Source organism: Homo sapiens, chromosome 15, assembly GCF_000001405.40.
Source record: "Homo sapiens chromosome 15, GRCh38.p14 Primary Assembly".
Classification (NCBI taxonomy): domain Eukaryota; kingdom Metazoa; phylum Chordata; class Mammalia; order Primates; family Hominidae; genus Homo; species Homo sapiens.
In genome coordinates, this window is record NC_000015.10 from 33,876,895 (window position 1) to 33,898,441 (window position 21,547).

At 39.1% G+C, this 21,547-nt stretch overlaps 1 protein-coding gene across 11 annotated transcripts in view, besides 3 other annotated features; it reads right to left on the bottom strand.

The window, feature by feature from the left end:
* The window catches only part of AVEN (apoptosis and caspase activation inhibitor), a 223,545-nt gene that overhangs the window by 25,114 nt on the left and 176,884 nt on the right, over positions 1–21,547 (bottom strand). The gene's annotated exons all lie outside the window — the stretch shown is intronic.
* Positions 17,424–17,493: an enhancer, noted in NCBI's record as "active region_9170". NCBI's record gives its function as "activates an Ori minimal core promoter by ATAC-STARR-seq in GM12878 lymphoblastoid cells {active_cell/tissue: GM12878}" and the evidence as "EXISTENCE:reporter gene assay evidence [ECO:0000049][PMID:35858748]".
* Positions 17,514–17,633: an enhancer, noted in NCBI's record as "active region_9171". NCBI's record gives its function as "activates an Ori minimal core promoter by ATAC-STARR-seq in GM12878 lymphoblastoid cells {active_cell/tissue: GM12878}" and the evidence as "EXISTENCE:reporter gene assay evidence [ECO:0000049][PMID:35858748]".
* Positions 21,397–21,446: an enhancer, noted in NCBI's record as "active region_9172". NCBI's record gives its function as "activates an Ori minimal core promoter by ATAC-STARR-seq in GM12878 lymphoblastoid cells {active_cell/tissue: GM12878}" and the evidence as "EXISTENCE:reporter gene assay evidence [ECO:0000049][PMID:35858748]".

Below are 21,547 nucleotides of genomic sequence, written 5' to 3' on the forward strand. Positions count from 1 at the left end.
AAAGTAAAAGCTCCCCACATTTTTATAAATTTAATCTCCTTCCCACATGACTTTTTGATCAGAAAAAAACAGAACTAAAACTGTAGAATTAGAATACAGAAAAGAGTAATAAATTAATATAAACCAATCCATAAGAAATAAGTGGTTGTTCTCAGAGAAAAAGTTAAAGTCAAATACTTTCATTACTAAGCAAAGAAAGAACTTTAAGAAGAAATAAAGCAGTTTTATAAAGTTTCCTAACTTCCTAAAAAGCCAAACAGAGAAACTGAGGAAAAGAACCAACAGAGTTGTGGGTTGTTTTTTCTTCTTTTTAAATTAAAGAAACAAACACACCAATCTTCTCATCTAAATAACTGAAAGCCAGGATTATACCTAAAAATATAAACTAACACCATGGTCATCTAACATTTTTTTAAAAAGAGCAACCAATGCGATTAGAAAAGAGGATGAATTAAAAGGCATCAACACTGAAAAGCAGGGGACAACAGCATGATAATCTGAAGAAACAATGCTGTGTGTCTGGAAAACCAAAACAATGAGTGAAAGGGACTCAGAAAGGTGGCCCAGTTATAAAACTTATCTTAAAAAATAAATGGCTCTCTAATACACAAACAAAATCCAGTGAGAAAACAAAAGGGGGCCGGGCGCGGTGGCTCACGCCTACAATCCCAGCACTTCGGGAAGCCGAGGAGGGTGGATCACTTGAGGTCAGGAGTTCAAGACCAGCCTGACCAACATGGTGAAACCTCATCTCTACTAGAAATACAAAAGTTAGACTGGTCACGGTGTCTCATGCCTGTAATCCCAGCATTGTCGGAGGCCGAGGCAGGCGGATCATGAGGTCAGGAGTTCGAGAACAGCCTGGCCAACATGGTAAAACCCCGTCTCTACTAAAAATACAAAAAATAGCCGAGCATGGTGGCACACGCCTATAATCCCAGCTACTCAGGAGGCTGAGGCAGGAGAATTGCTTAAACCCGGGAGGCGGAGGTTGCAGTGAGCCAAAATCACACCACTGCACTCCAGCTTGGGCATCAGAGCAAGTCTCTGTCTCAAATAAATAAATAATAAATAAATAAAACAAAATGGAAGAAAATATCTCATTCATAATAGCAATAACATACAAAAAATTCCTGGGAATGAATCAGGAATAAACATTTATTAAAAGAAACTTTACAAAATAAAACTTAAAAAGGAAGACAAAAAACTCAACAGTTATCAAGATACCAATTTCACCTAATGAAGTCTATAAATTCACTATTCAATCCCAAAAAGATTTTTGAATTTGTCCAAATTACTCAAATTCATTTTTTAAAATATATGAAACGAAGATATGCTTTTTTTTAAATGGTAAAGAAGTTGTCTTATTGATTATAAAAATGTATTCAAAAGTCTCAATAAATAAAATGGATAGCCACTGGTGAAAAACATAAGAACAGAAGAGTGTCTAGAAACAGCCCCAGGTATATGGAAACTTAGATATCGTAAGAGCGGCAGATGATATCTGTGCAGAAATCACTTTAACAGTGTTAAAGCAACTCACCAGCCATGTGAGAAACTAGGCTAGTTACCAATATCTCATTTCTCAGATGTAAAACATATTTTGTATGAATCAGATATTTAAGTGTTCAGAAAAAAAGGAAATCATAACACTATTACAAGAAAGCAGGTAGGGCAAATTTTGGCTACTGAAAAAATTTTAATACATAAAAAGAAAATTTTTTTGAATTACAGAAATTATCAACAAACTCAAAAGATGACAGGCTGAGAAGTAACGTTTGTAGCACATATTATTGGCAAAGAATACGTATTAATCTAATAATATATTAGATCTTTGTGTATTAGATACAAAGAACATCCACAAATCCATTAGAATAAAGCAATCCAGTAGGAAAATAGGAAAAGGGGAGAATATATGAAATATGATTGCTAATATATATGAAGTAAATGACAGATGTATGAATTTAAAATCTGATAGATTTTTTTAAAACTGTCCAAATTGCTGAATGCCTTATTCAGTGTTGTTTTTGACATTCCTGAACTTCTATATTAGAAATGATCATATGATTTCACAGATTAATATATAATTGGTACAAGATTCAGTAATGTAAAAAAGGCATGCTATATATACTTATTTTTAATATCTGAATGTTCACTTAAAAATATGGGTAAAATATAAATCATGCTGCTATAAAGACACATGCACACGTATGTTTACTGCGGCACTATTCACAATAGCAAAGACTTGGAACCAACCCAAATGTCTAACAATGATAGACCGGATTAAGAAAATGTGGCACATATACACCATGGAATACTATGCAGCCATAAAAAATGATGAGTTCATGTCCTTTGTAGGGACATGGATGAAATTGGAAATCATCATTCTCAGTAAACTATCGCAAGGACAAAAAAACAAACACCGCATGTTCTCACTCATAGATGGGAACTGAACAATGAGAACACATGGACACAGGAAGGGGAACATCACACTCTGGGGACTGTTGTGGGGTGGGGGGAGGGGGGAGGGATAGCATTAGGAGATATATCTAATGCTAAATGACGAGTTAATGGGTGCAGCACACCAGCATGGCACATGTATACATATGTAACTAACCTGCACATTGTGCACATGTACCCTAAAACTTAAGGTATAATAATAAAATAAAAAAAAGAAGATAGTGAAGCAATGTCTCGAAAATAATAACATGCAAAATCCAACAACCTTGAATTCTTTATCCACCAGAAACATCTTTCAAAACTGGAGGCAAAATAAGACTTTTTCAGACATGTGAAATCCTACGGAATTGATCACCATTAGACTCTCGCTATTAGAAATGATAAAGGACACCCCTAAATGAAAGAAAATGATCCCACATTGAAATGTGGTTTGACAAAAAGAAATGAAAAATCAGATACAGTAGCTACCTGGATCAATTAGAAACCTCTGTATTATGTAATGTCTATAAAGAGAACAGTAATGTCTATAAAGAGAACTATTCAGAGAAAAATTAATAAGAATACATTATGATTTTCAATAAAAATAAAAGCAAACTATATGACAAAGCAGAAAAGCGAAGGTGGGTGAAGAACATGTAATAATGGTTTTGTACTATATGTGAATATATAATAGCACCTGAAGGTAGATTTTGGTAAGTTATGTATTTACTGTATACCCTAAAACAACCATTAAAATAAAACCCTCTTAACAAACAAACAAACAAAAAATGGGTAAAATCCAACAATGACTATCTTATTCCCCCAGTCTTGCTGAGAACGAGGAACCAGGCGCCCCTACCCAAAAAGACCTGAAAAGTCTTATCTGAAGACATGAGAGTTCCCAAGGCAGTGAGGACTTGGATGAAATTCCTGGAGAGAAGAGAAGCAAACAAGGAGGTCAGGGTAACATTTAGGGCTGCTTATCCCCCTAAGGCATTTATCAATTTTCAAAAGGTGGTATTGAGAGGCTAAAAAACAACCCAGGAGGTTGTAAAGCTGAAGAAAGCTCTGCTAGTCTTACAGCACTGGGAGGACAAAAACTAGAGTTCAGGGCCAATGGATGAGGAAGAGTCTTGGAAAACCAAGGCTTTCAGGCGGGACCCCCTGATGACTGCATCCTGTAAGTTAGGAGTAAAGTAGGAATTGACCAGCCCTCACCAAGTCTGAGGTCCAGCTGTGAGTGAGCTCAATCTCTGATTCTGCCTACAAGCAAAAGTAAATCATTTTTGGAGGAAAATGACACTATCAATAGCCTCCAATGATCTCTATAATTTTTAATTTACAATGTCCAATATTCATTAAAAACGATCAGGCCTACCAAAAGATGAGACCAAAATAGTAGAAAACAAAGAGAAAAGAAAAAAGAAACAAGAGTTAACTGAAAAAGATCCACAGAGATTAAGATATTGGGGACATGAGACATGGATTTTATAATTTTGCCATGTCAAAATTTCAAGAACAGGAAAAACTAGGAACATCATAAACAATGACATCCATGAAGGCATCTTTGATGCACACAAAATAAAATACACATAAAGAATATAAAGAAGAAAATGTTAGAGAAAAATGAGTTACCTAAATACCACAAAAGTTACCACATTTTGTTTTCAGGAATAAAACTTCAAAATATAACACAATTTAAAGAAGGCTTTTAAAAATCCTTACAGATAAAGAATATAGAAGCTAATTTTATTTTATTTTTTTATTTTAGTGGAGATTGGGTCTCACTCTGTCACCCTGGCTGGAGTGCAGTGGCACAATCAGAGCTCACTGCAGCCTCAAACTCCTAGACTCAAGTGATCTCCCCCATCTCAGCCTCCCAAGTTTCTGGGACTACAGGTGCACACCACCATGCCCAGCAAATTTATTTTTTGTAGAGATGGGGTATTGCTATATTGCCCAGACTGGTCTCAAACTCCTGGCCTCAAACAATCCACCACCTCAACCTCCCAAAGAGCTAGGATTACAGGTATGAGACACTGCATGTGGCCTAGAGGCTACTTTTATTATTATGTTTTAGATAAGGTCTCACTCTGTCACCCAGACTGGAGTGCAGTGGCACAATCATAGCTCACTGCAGCCATGACCTCTGAGGCTCAACTGATCTTCCTGGCTAATTTTAAGTAGTAAACTTGGTAAAATGACTACTATAGAATACCAACCACTCTGATTCTCACATTGAAGATGAAAGTGTACAAACCTGAAACTATGAATCCTAGAACTAAAAGTCTTTCTAGAAAACATATTACCAAAATTCTTCTGCGTTGTGTTGTTACATACACACAAAGTATGGTGATTCACCAAATGTGCTACTTTTATATCTTATATACCAGACATATGGACATGCATGGACAATTAGAAACCTACTTTAAGTAAGATAGCAAGGGGTATTCACAGCACATTCCATTCCACTCCAGCTTTATTTGTTTGCCAGAAGAGTTCCTGGTCTCTCACATACTAAACACATGGTGGATCTGACTAAAAGGTATAGAAGAAAACCAGAAAAGAACAGTGACAGCCAACTGTAGTTGACAAGGGAACAAACATGGAGAAGTGTGTCTTAGGAGTCATAAGATTCAACAGCTGTGTGTCCTGAATTAATTGGGGCATAGTGAAAGGAATAGAACTAGAAAGAACTAGGAAGCTCAAAGGGAGTATACCACTGTCTTCCCTCTTCTTCAAGTAAAGACAACTGTCTGACTTACAGAATATTGTAGAACGGCCTTGTTGTGTACTTATATAATATCCTCAAACAAGATGGAAGAGCAGCTAGTGCCTATTACATAGCCTGCTTAAAAAACAATAAAAATCCCATAATATTCTACTACTTTATAGATAAGAATACCAAAATATTAGGCCTACAAAATCCAATGACTGCTTATTATGAAGGCATTTACTGGAATCTGTTTAAAAGGGGGAAGGGGGTAGCAAAACTGATGTACATGAAGAGTTCACATTTTCCTTACATGATAAAAAGCCTCATCTCATCCTATTCCAGCAACAATGCTGAAGTTGGCACACATGCAATCAAAGCTGAGACACAGGAGATATTGAGACAATTTTGTTGTATTTTGAAAGTCAACTACATTGCTCTATTGCCACATTTCTAGAGCCAAAATTAATAAGAGATTTTTAAATCAAATAATTGTGTGAAGAAGCAAAAATGTTAAAAAAAAAAAATAGAAATAAGGCTGGGTGTACAGTGGCTTACGCCTGTAATCTCAGCACTTTGGGAGGCTGAGGTGGAAGGATCAATTGAGGCCAGGAATTCAAGACAAGCCTGGGTAACAAAATGAGAACTCATCTCTATTTAAAAAAAATAAAATAAAAGTACCCAGGTACAGTGGCCCGCACCTATAGTCTCAGCTACTCAGGAGGCTGAGGTGGGAGATTGCTTGAGCCCAGGAGTTTGAGGCTGCAGTGGAGCTGACATCATGCCACTGCACTCCAGCCTGGGTGACGGAACAAGACCCAAGACCCTGTCTCAAACAAACAAACAAAAGAAACAAAAACGGAAGAAAATTAGAAATAAATATAAGAGATAGCAGCAATCTTACACATGCTTCTGAAAATATTCAGAAAGAATGTTTCAAGCAGTATACAATGCTTCAATTTCTAGGATTGCTTCATTAAACTCATGACCATAAAACAAATCTCCAAGGGTAGGGGCTGATAAGGAGATCAAGTTCTTACCTAGTCAGTTACTATTTGAGAAGACAAGCGTAGTTGCTGAGGAACAACTTTACCATCATCAGTACTCTATTCTGGCAGAGCCAGCCAAACAACATCTTGTTCCTCTAGACACCTCAGTTAAAAGGTAGCAACTTTAGTATTGCAAATGTGTAGTGTAGTGTATGGTGACTACAGGAATAACCAAAAAGCTGACGGTGGTCAGAAATCAGTATGCCCATTTGTCTAAATCTGGCTACTAAAATTTTAATATAGTCTTTAATTTGAGTTTTTTTCTTGTATCCCAGTAGTCCATTTTACAACAATGATATTTAGCTTTAACTTCAGCTAAATATTGATCATTTGGCCAAAATGTGTTTTGGTGAACCACAATATTCAATCAGTGGCACTCCATTTGGTAGGTCTGTATGTACTGACACAGAAAGATACCCATTATCTCAACTGCTACATGAGAAAAGCACGCTTCAGTATAGTATGAATGATACATATATAGATATAAAGATATATAAGTATGTATATCACAAAAAATACTAATTTATGCATAGAAATTAGTCAAAATAATTAATACCTATTTTTAAAATGATTATCTCTCAGAATGTGGGATTGAAGGAAACTTTTCCTTTTGACACAATACATTTTCCAGTTGAATCATCCTTTGTAAACAACAAGGATTTTTCCTTTTGGAACGAAACAAAATGGAAGAAAATCTAGAGAAAAAGCTCAATTTTCTTGAGGGCAGGGACCTTCTCAGAATGTATTTGAGACAAAATATTCAGAGACTTCAAAAGTTGGAACTGCAGACATCATTCATTCTAACCCTCACTTTATAGAGCTGTGAAGAACCTTAGCTCTAGAAAGTTCAATGTTCTAACCAAGACCACACAGCCATTTAATGGCTAGACACCTAGACTCTTGGCTCACAGCATTTGTTATTTTATTTTTTAACTTTGCTTCTCCAAAAGACAACCTGGCATCGATTTTTCTCAAACTCCTGGGCTCAAGGGATCCTCCCACCTCAGCCTCCCCTCCCAAGTAGCTAGAAATACAGATGCATGCCACCATGCCCAGAGAGCATTTACAATAATAAATTATTAAGTAGTAAAGCTCTTTTTTCCACTGTTTCTGCTAGGCCTCTTGGCTATCTTGAGTTCCCCAGAACAAAAGCAAATGCTCAGGAAATATTTTATGATAGTTGACATACTAATATTTGATTTGTTGACATGTTTGAAGATATGGAAGTCCAAACTAAGAAATAAAGAATTCCTCTTTTTAGGAAATCACCTCAGGAATTTCCTAAAATTATGCCTATAGTACTTTTAAAAATAGTCTGTCTTACAGAACTCTAAGTATTCTAATAATGATAGTATTAGTGAAATAAAGGTGTCGTACCAATTCCATCACTGTGTTTATAATATCCAGGATTTTCACTCTGCCTAACTTCCCAAACTGGCCTAACACATGTCTTATGGTCAGTGGCAAAGTGGACATTAAACTTGCTAGAACTCCTCAGTACTAATATGCTTTCAAAAAGCTTACCATCTAGTCATAGATAATACAGCTGCCAATTTTAAGCTTACCCTTTCAGCCCTATCAACAAAAAAAGGGCTTTCAGTCAAGCAAAAGTACTTAACAAAGCTATCCAGTGAGAGTTCAGAGATTACAAGGAACAATCTTTACTCAGGCAGAAGGAAACCTGCAAAGACTTTCAGAATGAACAATACAGATCAGGCATATGTGAAGAGTGAATGTGAAAGATGGAAAATCTTCCCAAGCCTACCACCCAATTCTGATCATTTGATAGTAGCAATTCCCATAACTCATTCATCCTGGCTATTTGGATCTTTCAAATCATATAATTGACCTGAATCTTTGTGGTGTCTCCTTTAGGAAACCAACTCTAGAAAGCAGAGGAATGTGTCACCAATTCTGCATAAGTACTTCATTTTAAGCTCCATTTTCCTGGCTCCTCTTCATCATGATCATCTTCCTTTATCTATCCCACAGCCCCTGCAGAACATGTCCTCAACCAGGACACCAAGTTACTGAAAAGTCACAAATGAACTTTATAGGTCGACAAAGGCTGAGAAGACCCCAATCTTCACAGAGGAGGAGAGAATGTCCAATAGTCACCGCAATGGCTGCTACCAAAAATAAAATGTCCTCTTTCATTTCTCTGAACTTCTCTAATCTCATCTATGAAAGATGACATATTTGGAGGGTCAAGGTGGATCCTAAGTCTCCACGCTGACACAGATCAATCCAGGGAAAATCCACAGCTCAGCCTACAGGACATAAAAATTCTTCACCACTTCCAATTTCTAGCTTCCATGATTCAGCCTTTGTAGATGCAGATGTGATGTCCTTCACCTCAATATTTACCCTAAAACAAGCGACACCTAACACTTTGTCTTTGTGAGGAAGACTATGCAAGTCACTACGGTGATTATTTTAAAAGTTAGGCTGAGCTAAATGAACAAGAGAATAATAATAAAAATCTCTCCTCCTGCTCAACAGTGACTTATAATTAGCTTTCTCACCAAGTGTAGGGCCCAAAAAGCCCCTGAGCATCGAACATCCACACTGAGCACTACATAATAGGTTGTGCCTATCTTCCCAATGCCATTAAAAAGCTGCTTCCCCATCTGCATGGATTATGTTGAAGGAAATGCCAAATACACTAAGGTACCTTAAAGGGATTCTAGGCTTTATGAGAAAAGGATGATGACATTCTGGAATTTAGAACCCAGCTGTTTTCCCCAAAACAGTTGGTGACTATTCTGTTAACCCTGTACCACTGTATATGACCTAGTAAAAATTGTCAGATCAATCACCTTCAGAACAAGGCCAGCATCAAACCCTGGCACAGAACTCCAAGATGAGAGTAGATGACTTGACAAAGCTGAATAAATAAGGGAATACAAAGATCAGTCTTTGGATGGGCAATGAAGTCATAAGATCTTAGAACTGATCTGTAGTATAGTGTGTCAGGATAAGCTCTGGCTGCATGTAACAAAGACCTGTACCTGTATATCACGGCCCAAACAAGATAAAAGATTCTATCTCTGTTGATATGGTTTGGCTCTGTCCCCACCCAAATCTCATCTTGAATTGTAGTTCCCATAATCCCCACGAGTCATGAAAGGGACCCAGTGGGAGATAACGGAATCATGGGGGGCGGTCTCCCCATGCTATTCGCATGATAGTAAGTTCTGACAAGATTTGATGGTTTTTTGTTTTGAGATGGAGTCTCGCTCTGTCGCCCAGGCTGGAGTGTACTGGCACTATCTCAGCTCACTGCAACCTCCGCCTCCCAGGTTCAAGTGAGTCTCCTGCCTCACCCTCCCAAAGAGCTGGGACTACAGGCATGTGCCACCACACTCGGCTAATTTTTTTGTATTTTTAGTAGAGATGGGGTTTCACCATGTTAGCCAGGATGGTCTCGATCTCCTAACCTCGTGATCCGCCCACCTCAGCCTCCCAAAGGAGAGTTGATGGTTTTATAAGGGGCTTCCCCCTTCACTCAGCTCTCATTCTTCTCTCTCCTGCCACCTTGTGAAGAAGAACATGTCTACTTCCCCTTCCACCATGACTGTAAGTTTCCTGAGGCTTCCGCAGCTCTGCAGAACTGTGAGTCAATTAAACCTCTTTCCTTTATAAATTATCCAGTCTTGGGTATGTCCTTAGAGCAGTGTGAGAATTGACTAATACATTTGTCAACTAAATGAAGTACAGAGTCCAGCAGTCAAAGGCTGGTATGGTGGCCCAGGCTCCCCCTATTGCTCTGCCATGCCTGGGGAGGCCCTTCTTGCCACAGTCCAATATGAGAACCAGAGCTCCTGCTATCCCATCAAAATTCCAGGCAGCGAGATGGAAAAATAGTTGAAGAAAAGGGGGCAGAAGGCATGCAGCATCTATCAATTAAGGTTTTCTAGAAACTACAATAGAACATTTGCACTCATTTCTCTTTTGGACAGAGCTATATTGTAAGTATAAGAAATACATCATAGTTCTATCAAACCACAAAGTATGTAAGATAATTTTTTTCGGGTGGCCATGAGTCCAGATAAGAATCAGAGGTTCTATTACCACAGAGAAAAAGGGAGAATGACTATGGGGTTAGGAAGCAAATACTCTCTGTGACAAGTTATGGGACCAAACTACTTGAGAAATAGCTAGTTAATAAGGGTCAGCTTCTAGGGGAGGGATTGTGCTCACTAAACCATGAGTTGTCTCCCAACCATTTTGAAAACTTGTAATATTCAGACTTCTCAAACTGGAATTTTAGACAATGTGCCTTTCAACATTTTTTTCAGTTCTAACATAGGGTAATTATGGGGTAAAATTCTAGTTTCCAGCAGAATGTAACAGCTTTTACCAAAATAAATATTGTTTACTACCTTTCTAGGGGAAAATGGGAATGACTTCAGGAGTGATGATTCTATTTATTAATTTTCATTTTTCATACATTTTAGCACAACTATGTGCCAAACACTATTGTATGTTAATAACATAAATATAGAAGATACACTCCTGCTCTCCTTATTCTCAGACAGACTCTGAGTTGAACAAGACAAGAGAAGACTACATGAAACAGAAAAAAAGAAACTTAAAGGAAATCTGAATTCTTTCCTCAAGGACTTAGAGGGGGTCACATTCTCTCCCTTTATTATTTTATACACACAATGATATGCTCGTGATACTAATTTATTTAGAAAAGATTTGGTCCACCAAGAAGCTTATGTGTCTTACTAATAACTTGTCTGACACCTAAAATGTTGAGTATTAGTTAACTTTGTTGGTGAAAACCACCATACAAATAATCAAAGCTTCCGGGTCCAATGCCTGGAGTTGAAAGCCCAACAACACCATCAGCAATCTTGCAACCACACCTAGTTCACCCTCAGGGAGAGCAGATGAGAAAGAACTTTCCCACATACTACCAATATAAACAAGTAATAACTTTAAGGAGAAAAAAGTAACCCCTCCGTGACAGCAACAAAACCTTAAGAATGGGTGAGACCTATATGAAAAAAAATATAAAGCTACACAGAAAGATCCTTGATTATTCATTTAACAAAAATTTGTTAAGAGCCAGATACTGTATTAAGTGCTGAAAATATAAAATTAAATAGATTAGTGCCATACCCTAATGAGTTAAGGATCACATAAATAAGCAGTTACAGAACATGCAATGACAGACACAAAGTCTTATGGGAGCATTGTGTGTGTGTGTGGCAGGGGGAAGGGGGGCATAGTGAATCCAGGTTGGGGCAGAGTCAGTGAGGCTTCCTAGGAGAAGTGACACCTGATCCGACGGAAAACAAAGAGCTGCCCAGGCAAAAAGCCAGAAGGAGATGGTAACTAAAAGAAGGGCCAAAATCAGAAAGGAGAAAATGCAGGTACTGTGGGATGTGCAAGCAATTTGCTGTTACTAGAGCATAAAATGTGAACAAGGTAAAGATAAGGACAGAGGTATAAATGGAAAAGTGGAACATTCCTGGATGAAACTTTACAACTGTAAAGATGTCAATATTAATGTTTATAGTCAATGTAACTCCAATCAAATTATTGTTAATGTTTTATAGTCAATATATTTAATATTTATTTATATCCAGTGTGATTAATATTAATTTTAAATTGCCTATGGAAAATACTTTTGGAATTCTTTTTTTGTGTGTGTGTGTGTGAGATGGAGTCTCACTCTGTCACCAGACTGGAGTGCAGTGGCGCGATCTTGGCTCACTACAACCTCCGACTCCCTGGTTCAAGTGATTCTCCTGCCTTAGCCTCCCCAAGTAGCTAGGACTACAGGCGCATGCCACCACGCCCAGCTAAAGTTGGCCAGGATGGTCTCAATTTCTTGACCTCGTGATCCACCTGCCTCGGCCTCCCAAAGTGCTGGGATTACAGGCATGAGCCACCACACCCAGCCTGGAATTCTTTTTTGCTATTTTCATATAACTCAGGTGAGATGTACGTCTTACAGATATTTTAAAATTATTATTTTAATTTGTATATACTTGAAAATATCTTTCAGAAAATTATCATTTAATATTTTGAACATCTTCCAGATTTCTAAATACAAACATGAAAAATCTATTAACAAAATCATAAAAATGGGCATCTTTTTTGACTGCTGTACTACAAAGACTTTAAATGACATATAAATTCAAAAACTCTAAAACCACATTATTCAAATAATGCTAGTCTTTTAATCTCTGTCAGTATAACAAAACCTTTTCCCACCAATGCCAAGATCATTTCTGTAAGTATCCAGCAGATTTCTTGCTTTTATTGCTCTCCCCACTGTTGGCTTGTGAGTCTGTTCTGTTTGTTTTTGTGCACACTATGAGCTTAGCTGAAAACTCTAAAATAATATTAGACTAATTAGGACGTCCATAATGTCCCTTGAATACACCTGTCTGACACTACAATGTAAATCTTAAGTTATCTGTTTCTCTGCCTCTTCCCCCTCCTATTCAACCCAATGGACATGAAATATGTTTCTGCACAAAAAAAAATACGCATCCAACTTGCCTTCTCATCTCATTAGGTTTTCTTTTATTTTTAGTTTTGAAAAACAGTATTCTACAGAGCTGTGATTTAAATGGGCAAATGACATACAGAGTAATTTGAATTTTTAAATGTTTTGTTTAGCCTTCCTGTCAAAAATTAGAGCAAATATGTGCAATCTGATTTTTATTCTTTTTCAGGTCATGTCCTTTGAGACTAACGGAGCAGCTGTGGCTTCTTGTCACAGCATACATTTATAGAAAATCGGGCATACCATTAGAGGGGAGACTCGAAGCTTGGTCCTGAAAATGATGTGCAAACAAATGTGCTCTCCACCAATGGGGTCAAGGTACGGCAAGGTAGATACAAACCCTACATTCTACCGATTCCAAACTTCACAGAAAACCAAGTGGCCACAAGGTGTCAAGGCGAGTTCCCTCTCCGACGTGCCAAACTGATCTTCTCTGGAGATGTTTGTGCATCACTGATAGTGTCTAGGTTTTTGTTCATTGATGCAAAACATTTTTTGGTTTTCTGGTTTTTTTACTTCCTCAAGGGATAATACACATTATATGTTCAGTAGTCTGAGGTATATAGTGATCTTATCTTAGTTGGGGCTCGATGCTGCCTAGCTCCACACAAAGCCAACATGATTTCTGCAATGTACACATCTTCAGTAAAGCACTGTTAACTGTCAGAGCCCAGTTTTTATTACTACTCTTGTGACTGGTGCGGTGCCTGGCACACAGTAGGCAGTTAGTAAATGTGCATTTAGGAAGGAGGGAAATAATAATGCGTAAATATATGCATGCAAGAATAAATGAGCAAACGAACAAGAATACAAGGCTAAACAAAATCAACAAATGAACATCAGTAGTCTATGTGCCATAAAGGGGATAAGGAAACAGAGAAATAAGGGGGGAAATCATGTTACTTTCATGAAGCTTGCCAAAAGTATAGGGCAAAAATGTAAAATACAGAATTCTGTTTGCAACCAGAAATTTCTAGTAAATCAAATAACTCAAATAAGAACAAGTGGGAAGGAGAAAAAAATGGCAGAGATCTTCAATTAGAATTTTCTTAAACCACTCTCAAAAAGGGAGAAAGATGAAAAGAAACTAAGGATGGATCTCAAAATGTAATATTCCAGCAATTACCACTATCCAAGACAAGTGAACAGTGCAAACTTACTAGCTGATGAGCTATGAACATGACCATTACAAAGGTAAAACTGGCCAAGCATGGTGGCTCACAGCTGTAATCCCAGCACTTTGGGAGGCTGAAGAGGATCATGAGAGCCCTGAAATTTGAGGCCAGCCTGGGCAACATAGTGAGAACTCATCACTACCAAAAATTTAAAGAATTAGCGGAGCGTGGTGGTGCACATGTGTAGTCCCAGCTACTTGAGAGGCTGAGATGAGAGGATTGCTTGAGGCCAGGGGGCGAAGGTTGCAGTGAGCCGAGATCACACCACTGCACTCCAGCAACAGAGTGAGACTCTGTCTGGAAAAAAAAAAAATCCTAAAAGATATACTAAAATGTCTGGCTTTTAAACATTCCCCTTGTTGGTAATAAGCAAGCTTTAGAAATTTATCCCCACAGAAATTTTGTTTTATATTGTATTAACTATTTTTTAATGGTTTGTTTTTATTATACTTTAAGTTCTAGGGCACATGTGCACAACGTGCAGGTTTGATATATAGGTATACATGTGCCATGTTGGTTTGTTGCACCCATTAACTCGTCATTTACATTAGGTATTTCTCCTAATGCTATCCCTCCCCCAGTCCCCCACCCCCTGACGGGCCCTGGTGTATGATGTTCCCCTCCCTGTCTGTGTCCAAGTGTTCTCATTGTTCAGTTCCCACCTGTGAATAAGAACATGTGGTGTTTGGTTTTCTGTGATAGTCTGCTGAGAATGATGGTTTCCAGCTTCATTCATGTCCCTGCAAAGAACATGAACTCATCCTTTTTATGGCTGCATAGTATTCCATGGTGTATATGTGCCACATTTTCTCAATCCAGTCTATCAATGATGGACATTTGGGTTGGTTCCAAGTCTTTGCTATTGTGAACAGTGCCACAATAAAAATAGGTGTGCATGTGTCTTTATAGTAGAATGATTTATAATCCTTTGGGTATATACCCAGTAGTGGGATGGCTGGGTCAAATGGTATTTCTAGTTCTAGATCCTTGAGGAATCACCACACTGTCTTCCACAATGGTGGAACCAATTTACACTCCCACCAACAAAGTAAAAGCATTCCTATTTCTCCACATCTTCTCCAGCATCTGTTGTTTCCTGACTTCTTAATGATCGCCATTCTAACTGTCATGAGATGGTATCTCATTGTGGTTTTGATTTGCATTTCTCTGATGACCAGTGATGATGAGCATTTTTTCGTGTGTCTGTTGGCTGCATAAATGTCTTCTTTCGAGAAGTGTCTGTTCATATCCTTTGCCCACTTTTTGATGGGGTTGTTTTTTTCTTGTAAATTTGTTTGAGTTATTTGTAGATTCTGGATATTAGCCCTTTGTCAGATGGGTAGATTGCAAAAATTTTCTCCGATTCTGTAGGTTGCCTGTTCACTCTGATGGTAGTTTCTTTTGCTGTGCAGAAGCTCTTTGGTTTAATTAGATCCCATTCATCTATTTTGGCTTTTGTTGCCATTGCTTTTGGCATTTTAGCCATGAAGTCCTTGCCCATGCCTATGTCCTGAATGGTATTGCCTAGGTTTTCTTCTAGGGTTTTTATGGTTTTAGGTCTAACAGTTAAGTCTTTAATCCATCGTGAATTAATTTCTGTATAAAGTGTAAGGAAGGGATCCAGTTTCAGCTTTCTACATATGGCTAGCCAGTTTTACCAGCACCATTTATTAAATAGGGAATCCTTTCCCCATTGCTTGTTTTCGTCAGGTTTGTCAAAGATCAGATGGTTGTAGATGTGTGGTGTTATTTCTGAGGGCTTTGTTCTGTTCCATTGGTCTGTATCTCTGTTTTGGTACCAGCACCATGCTGTTTGGTAGCCTTGTAGTATAGTTTGAAGTCAGGTAGCGTGATGCCTCCAGCTTTGTTCTTTTTACTTAGAATTGTCTTGGCAATGTGGGCTCTTTTTTGGTTCCATATGAACTTTAAAGTAGTTTTTTTTTTTAATTCTGTGAAGAAAGTCATTGGTAGCTTGATGGGGATGGCACTGAATCTATAAATTACCTTGGGCAGTATGGCCATTTTCACAATACTGATTCTTCCTACCCGTGGGCATGGAACGTTCCTCCATTTGTTTGTGTCCTCTTTTAGTTTGTTGAGCAGTGGTTTGTAGTTCTCCTTGAAGAGGTCCTTCACATCCCTTGTAATTTGGATTCCTAGGTATTTTATTCTCTTTGTAGCAATTGTGAATGGGAGTTCACTCATGATTTGGCTCTCTGTCTGTTATTGGTATATAGGAATGCCTGTGATTTCTGCACATTGATTTTGTATCCTGAGACTTTGCTGAAGTTGCTCATCAGCTTAAGGAGATTTTGGGCTGAGACAATGGGGTTTTCTAAATATACGATCATGTCATCTGCAAACAGGGACAATTTGACTTCTTCTTTTCCTAACTGAATACCCTTTATTTCTTTCTCCTGCCTGATTACACCAGCCAGAACTTCCAACACTATGTTGAATAGGAGTGGTGACAGAGGGCATCCTTGTCTTGTGCCAGTTTTCAAAGGGAATGCTTCCAGTTTTTGCCCATTCAGTATGATATTGGCTGTATCTCCACAGAAATTTTAACATGTAGGAAGAAATTCATACAAACACCAGCCTTGCTTATATCAGAAAGTAGTATTTGCAGGGCGTGGTGGCTCACACCTGTAATCCCTGCTACCTGTGAAGATAGCTTGAGCCCAGGAGTTGGGGGCTACAGTGAGGTATGAGCACACCCCAGTACTCCAGCTTGGGTGGAAAAAAAGAAACAAGCAAAGTAGTATTTTCCTGAATATTCTGTTTTTAAACTATTGTTTGCAATGCATAATGTGAATTCTTTTGAAATTTACTTTTGTTCTTTTTGGACTTTCTTTCCTGAATAAAAACTGGCATCACCACTACTAGCAAAGTGAACTCTACCTGAAGCATCTTAAAGCTGGTGATAGGAAAAGCAGAAAGGGGTGTGCACTCTCTGGGTTCCCTGCTGTGCTTATGCAGCCCCTCTGATTAGCTACTTCTGGCTCAGACCAAATGTGCAATAAATCAAAGAAGCAGTTGGAATAGAGTGTGGTCACGGTGTTCCATCAATTCATCAGTGACACCAAGTTCCAACTCAAGGCTTTTCAAACAGAAAAGAATGAGAAGGAGGAGCAACCTTGATGCCAAGATTTTTTTTTTTTTTTTGAGACAGAGTCTAGCTCTGTTGCCCAGGCTGGAGTGCAATGGCGTGATCTCGGCTCACTGCAACCTCCACCTCCTGGGCTCAAGTGATTCTCCTGCCTCAGCCTCTCCAGTAGCTGGGACTACAAGTCAGCACAACCACACCCGGCTAATTTTTGTATTTTTAGTAGAGATGGGGTTTCGCTATGTTGGCCAGGCTGATCTCAAACTCTTGACCTTAGGTGATCTGCCCACTTCGGACTCCTAAAGTTCTGGGATTAAAGGTGTGAGCTACTGCGCCTGACTGATGCCAAGAATTTTAAATAGCACTACCAGCACCAAAAGTGCAGAACCAGGAAGGAGCCACTGAACTCTGCCCAATCTCCAGAAAGAACACGCACTGGATACTGCAGCTACATAACAGGAAGGCACTGACAGGCCTTCATTAGGATCTTACTCCTCTTTTCTGGTAAATGAAACTGAAACCACTGACAGCTAATACTAAAAATGTAACTAAAAGTTTAATAAAGTAGAAGAACACAGGCAGTTGGGGTGGATAGGGTTTTTCTCTTAAAAAAAAAAAAAAAAAATCATCGGCCGGGCACAGTGGCTCACTAGCACTTTGGGAGGCCGAGGCAGGGGGACTGCCTGAGCTCAGGAATTCAAGACTAACCTGGGCAACACGGTAAAACCCCATCTCTACAGAAATACAAAAAATTAGGTGGGCATGGCAGCGTGTACCTGTAGTCCCAGCTACTCAGCAGGCTGAGGCAGGAGAATGGCGTGAACCCGGGAGACGGAGCTTGCAGTGAGCGGAGATCACGTCACTGCACTCCAGCCTGGGCGACAGAGTGAGACACCATCTCAAAAAAAAAAAAATAATAACAATAATAATAATAATAATAATAATAGAATGCTGTTTTAATTGCTTTTAAAGCTCTGTTTCCACACAACTTTTTCCTAACTTGTATATCCTTAGATGGCAATTGCTGGATGTCATCTATGTGATTAAAAGGTGCCATCTGGAAATTAAACTTTGCACTACCTTTTGGATACCGATTCTATAGCATAGCAAGATCCCAGAATGTTCTTTTATTGAAAGAACGTTTCCATCTTCAACTTTCCTCTAGTGCTTAGTGTCATAGCTCTTCCATACCCATCTGTAGGTGTTTGGATTCTACCACTGGTGGGCACCCTTCTGAATTCAAACAAACTTACTCTCTAGTATGACAATGTATTTTTTAAATCAGATTTGGGCTGATTTTTTTATCTTTGAAGCTTAACCTACTATTTTTTTCACTGTTCTTCTGCAATGGTTTATATTTTCTACTTCAGAGATACTTTTTGAACAACTCAGACACTGTTTTCAATGCAACTATATTTCTTTTTTTTTTTTTTAAGAGACAGGGCCCCACTCTATTACCCAGTATGGAGTGCAGTGGTGCAATCATAGCTCGCTGCAGCCTCAATCTCCCAGGCTCAAGTAATCCTGCCACCTCAGCCTCTTGAATAGCTGGGACTACAGGTATTCACCACCATGCCCAGCTAACTTTTTTATTTTTTGAAGAGATGAGGTCTCCCTATGTTGCCCAGAGTGGTCTCGAATTCCTGGCTCAAGTGTTCTTCCCACCTCAGCCTCCCAAAGTGCTGGAATTACAGGCATGAGCCACCACACCCAGCCCAGTCATAACTACTTCTTAACTGAATCGCTGCAGTTGTATTCTAACTGGTTTACCTACCTCCAATATAGTATTCTGAAGGCCCCACCAACTCCACCAGATAAATAGAACAACCCATTATCTGTATTATATTCAAAATGATCTTTTAAAAATACAAATCTGATCCTGCCAGACTCTTAGTTAAACCTCTCTATAACTGCCCTCCACTAATTTTAGATAAGGTATAATAACTTTTATATCCAGCCATGATGGAGGCTAGGGATCAAATGTACCCTCCTACCTGAAACAGTCACAAAGTCTGCCCCCTAATTCATGCCTCCTAACGCATAAGGCAGTGGGTAGAGAATTCCTGAGGCATTGGGTAGAGAATTCAAAAGGGTCTTGCTGTAGTAGAGAATAATTAACGCCACACGAAACATTGCTCTGGTCTCACCTAACAAATATTAAAAGCAAGACCTAAAGAGATTAAACTGTTTCCAAGTAACTTAATTATACCCCAGAATAAAAACTACATAGTATTTATAGGAATACAAAATTATGACTGCACTCAACAAGGTAAAAGCAATTTCTGATATGCCATCAAAAATTACATGGCATGCACAGACGCAGGAAAATAATGGCCCCCTAAAGAGGAGAATGATCAGTCAATCAAAATAATGCCAGAACTGACACAGATATGAAATTAGCAGAAAAGGACATTACGGCTTGTTAGCATAGCTTACATCACCCAATACAATCTGGCACCCATCGAATTCTCCAGGCGTCAGTTCTCTCCCTTACACTCTATACTTCAACTGTACTGAATTTCAGTTCTTCAAAAATGCCATGTTCTTTCTTGCATTCATGTTAATTATCTCTCCTGGTTATAATACTTGTCCATCCAGTGGTGTCCAGGAGAACTGTTTAGGGGCTGGGAGAGAGTCCTCATTTGATGTGTTTAACAATATCCATGGTCTAAGCACACCCACCACGGCCAATTTCAATCTGTCAAAAATTTAGCCACTAACTTGCAGAGTTCCTGAATTTTTAACAATCAACTCTGAAGCTGGTATAAGCCTGCATCCATCCCTCTCATCATCTGCCTGGAGCCTAATCATTCATCCTTGAGTCTCAAGTTAAACATCAGTTCCTCTAGGAAGCCTTTTAAGATCCTTCAAATCTGTTAAATGTTCCTCCTCTGTACTCCTATATAATACACTGTACTTGATACCATCACAACACTTATGATACTCTATTGTTATTACCTGACATATAAAACCCAAAAGGTAGATATTGTGCCCACCCTATTCATTAATCCATCTGCAGGACATTAGCACAATAGCTAGCGTGCAATGACACTCAAAAATCAGCTGAATGAGTAGTAAAAAGGAACAGACTTCCAGTAAGTGCAACAACATAGATGAATCGCCAATGCATTATGCAATGTGAAAGAAGCCAGACATAAAAGGCTACATACTATAGGGTTCCATTACATAACATTCTAAAAATGACAAAATCCACAAATCTATAGTTGCCAGGAAAGGACTGGGAAGGTACATAGGGAACTTTCTGGGATGATAAAAATGTTCTATGTGTTGGTGGTGGTCACAGACTACTTACATTTGTAAAAACTGTATACCTAAAAAGGCTGAATTTTGCTCAACATAAATTATACCTCAATAAACATAAATTAATTAATTAATTTATTTATTTTGAGATGGACTCACACTCTATCGCCCAGGCTAGAGTGCAGTGGCATGATCTTGGCTCACTGCAAGCTCCACCTCCCAGGTGCAAGCAATTCTCCTGCCTCAGCCTCCACCATGCCTGGCTAATTTTTGTATTTTTAGTAGAGACAGGGTTTCACCATGTTGGCCAGGCTGGTCTTGAACCCCTGACCTCAGGCGATCTGCCTGCCTCAGCTTCCCAAAGTGCTAGGATTACAGGCATAAGCCACCGCGCCCGGCCATGAATTTATTTTTTTAAACAACAGCTGCCAGGCCTGGTGGCTCATGCCTATAATCCCAGCACTTTGGGAGGCTGAGGCAGGAGGATTGCTTGAGGCCAAAAGTTCAAGACCAGTCTGGGCAACATAAGACGACCTTATCTCTACTAAAAATCAAAAATATATGTATGCAGCCATGGTGGTGTGCACCTACAGTCTTAGCTACTTGAGAGGCTGAGGTAGGAGGGTGGCTTGAGCCAAGGAGTTTTAGGTTAAAGCAAGTTATGATTGTGCCACTGCACTCCAGCCTGGGTGACAAAGACTCTGTATCTAAAAAAGCAAAGCAAAAAATAGCTGAATGGGCCGGGCGTGGTAGCTCACGCCTGTAATCCCAGCACTTTGGGAGGTCGAAGGGGGCGGATCACAAGGTCAGGAGATCGAGACCATCCTGGCTAACACGGTGAAACCCCATTTCTACTAAAAATACAAAAAATTAGCTGGGCGTGGTGGTGGGCACCTGTAGTCCCAGCTACTCTGGAGGCTGAGGCAGGAGAATGGCGTGAACCAGGGAGGCAAAGCTTGCAGTGAGCCGAGATCGCACCACTGCACTCCAGCCTGGGCAACAGTGCGAGACTCCGTCTCAAAACAAAACAAAACAGCTGAATGACTCAGTCACTGCTAAGGAGATAATGATGAGTAAAAAACAGCCCAAGCTCTTTACCAACTTATAATACATTGCCTGGGGAGGACTAGAGATTAGATCAACACACTATATGCGTTTCCTAGGGCAGCCTTGTACAGGACCACAAAGTGAGTGGCTTAAAACAACAGAAACTTATTCTCCCAGTTCTGGAGGTTAGAAGTCTGAAATCAACATGCTGGCAAGGCCATGCTG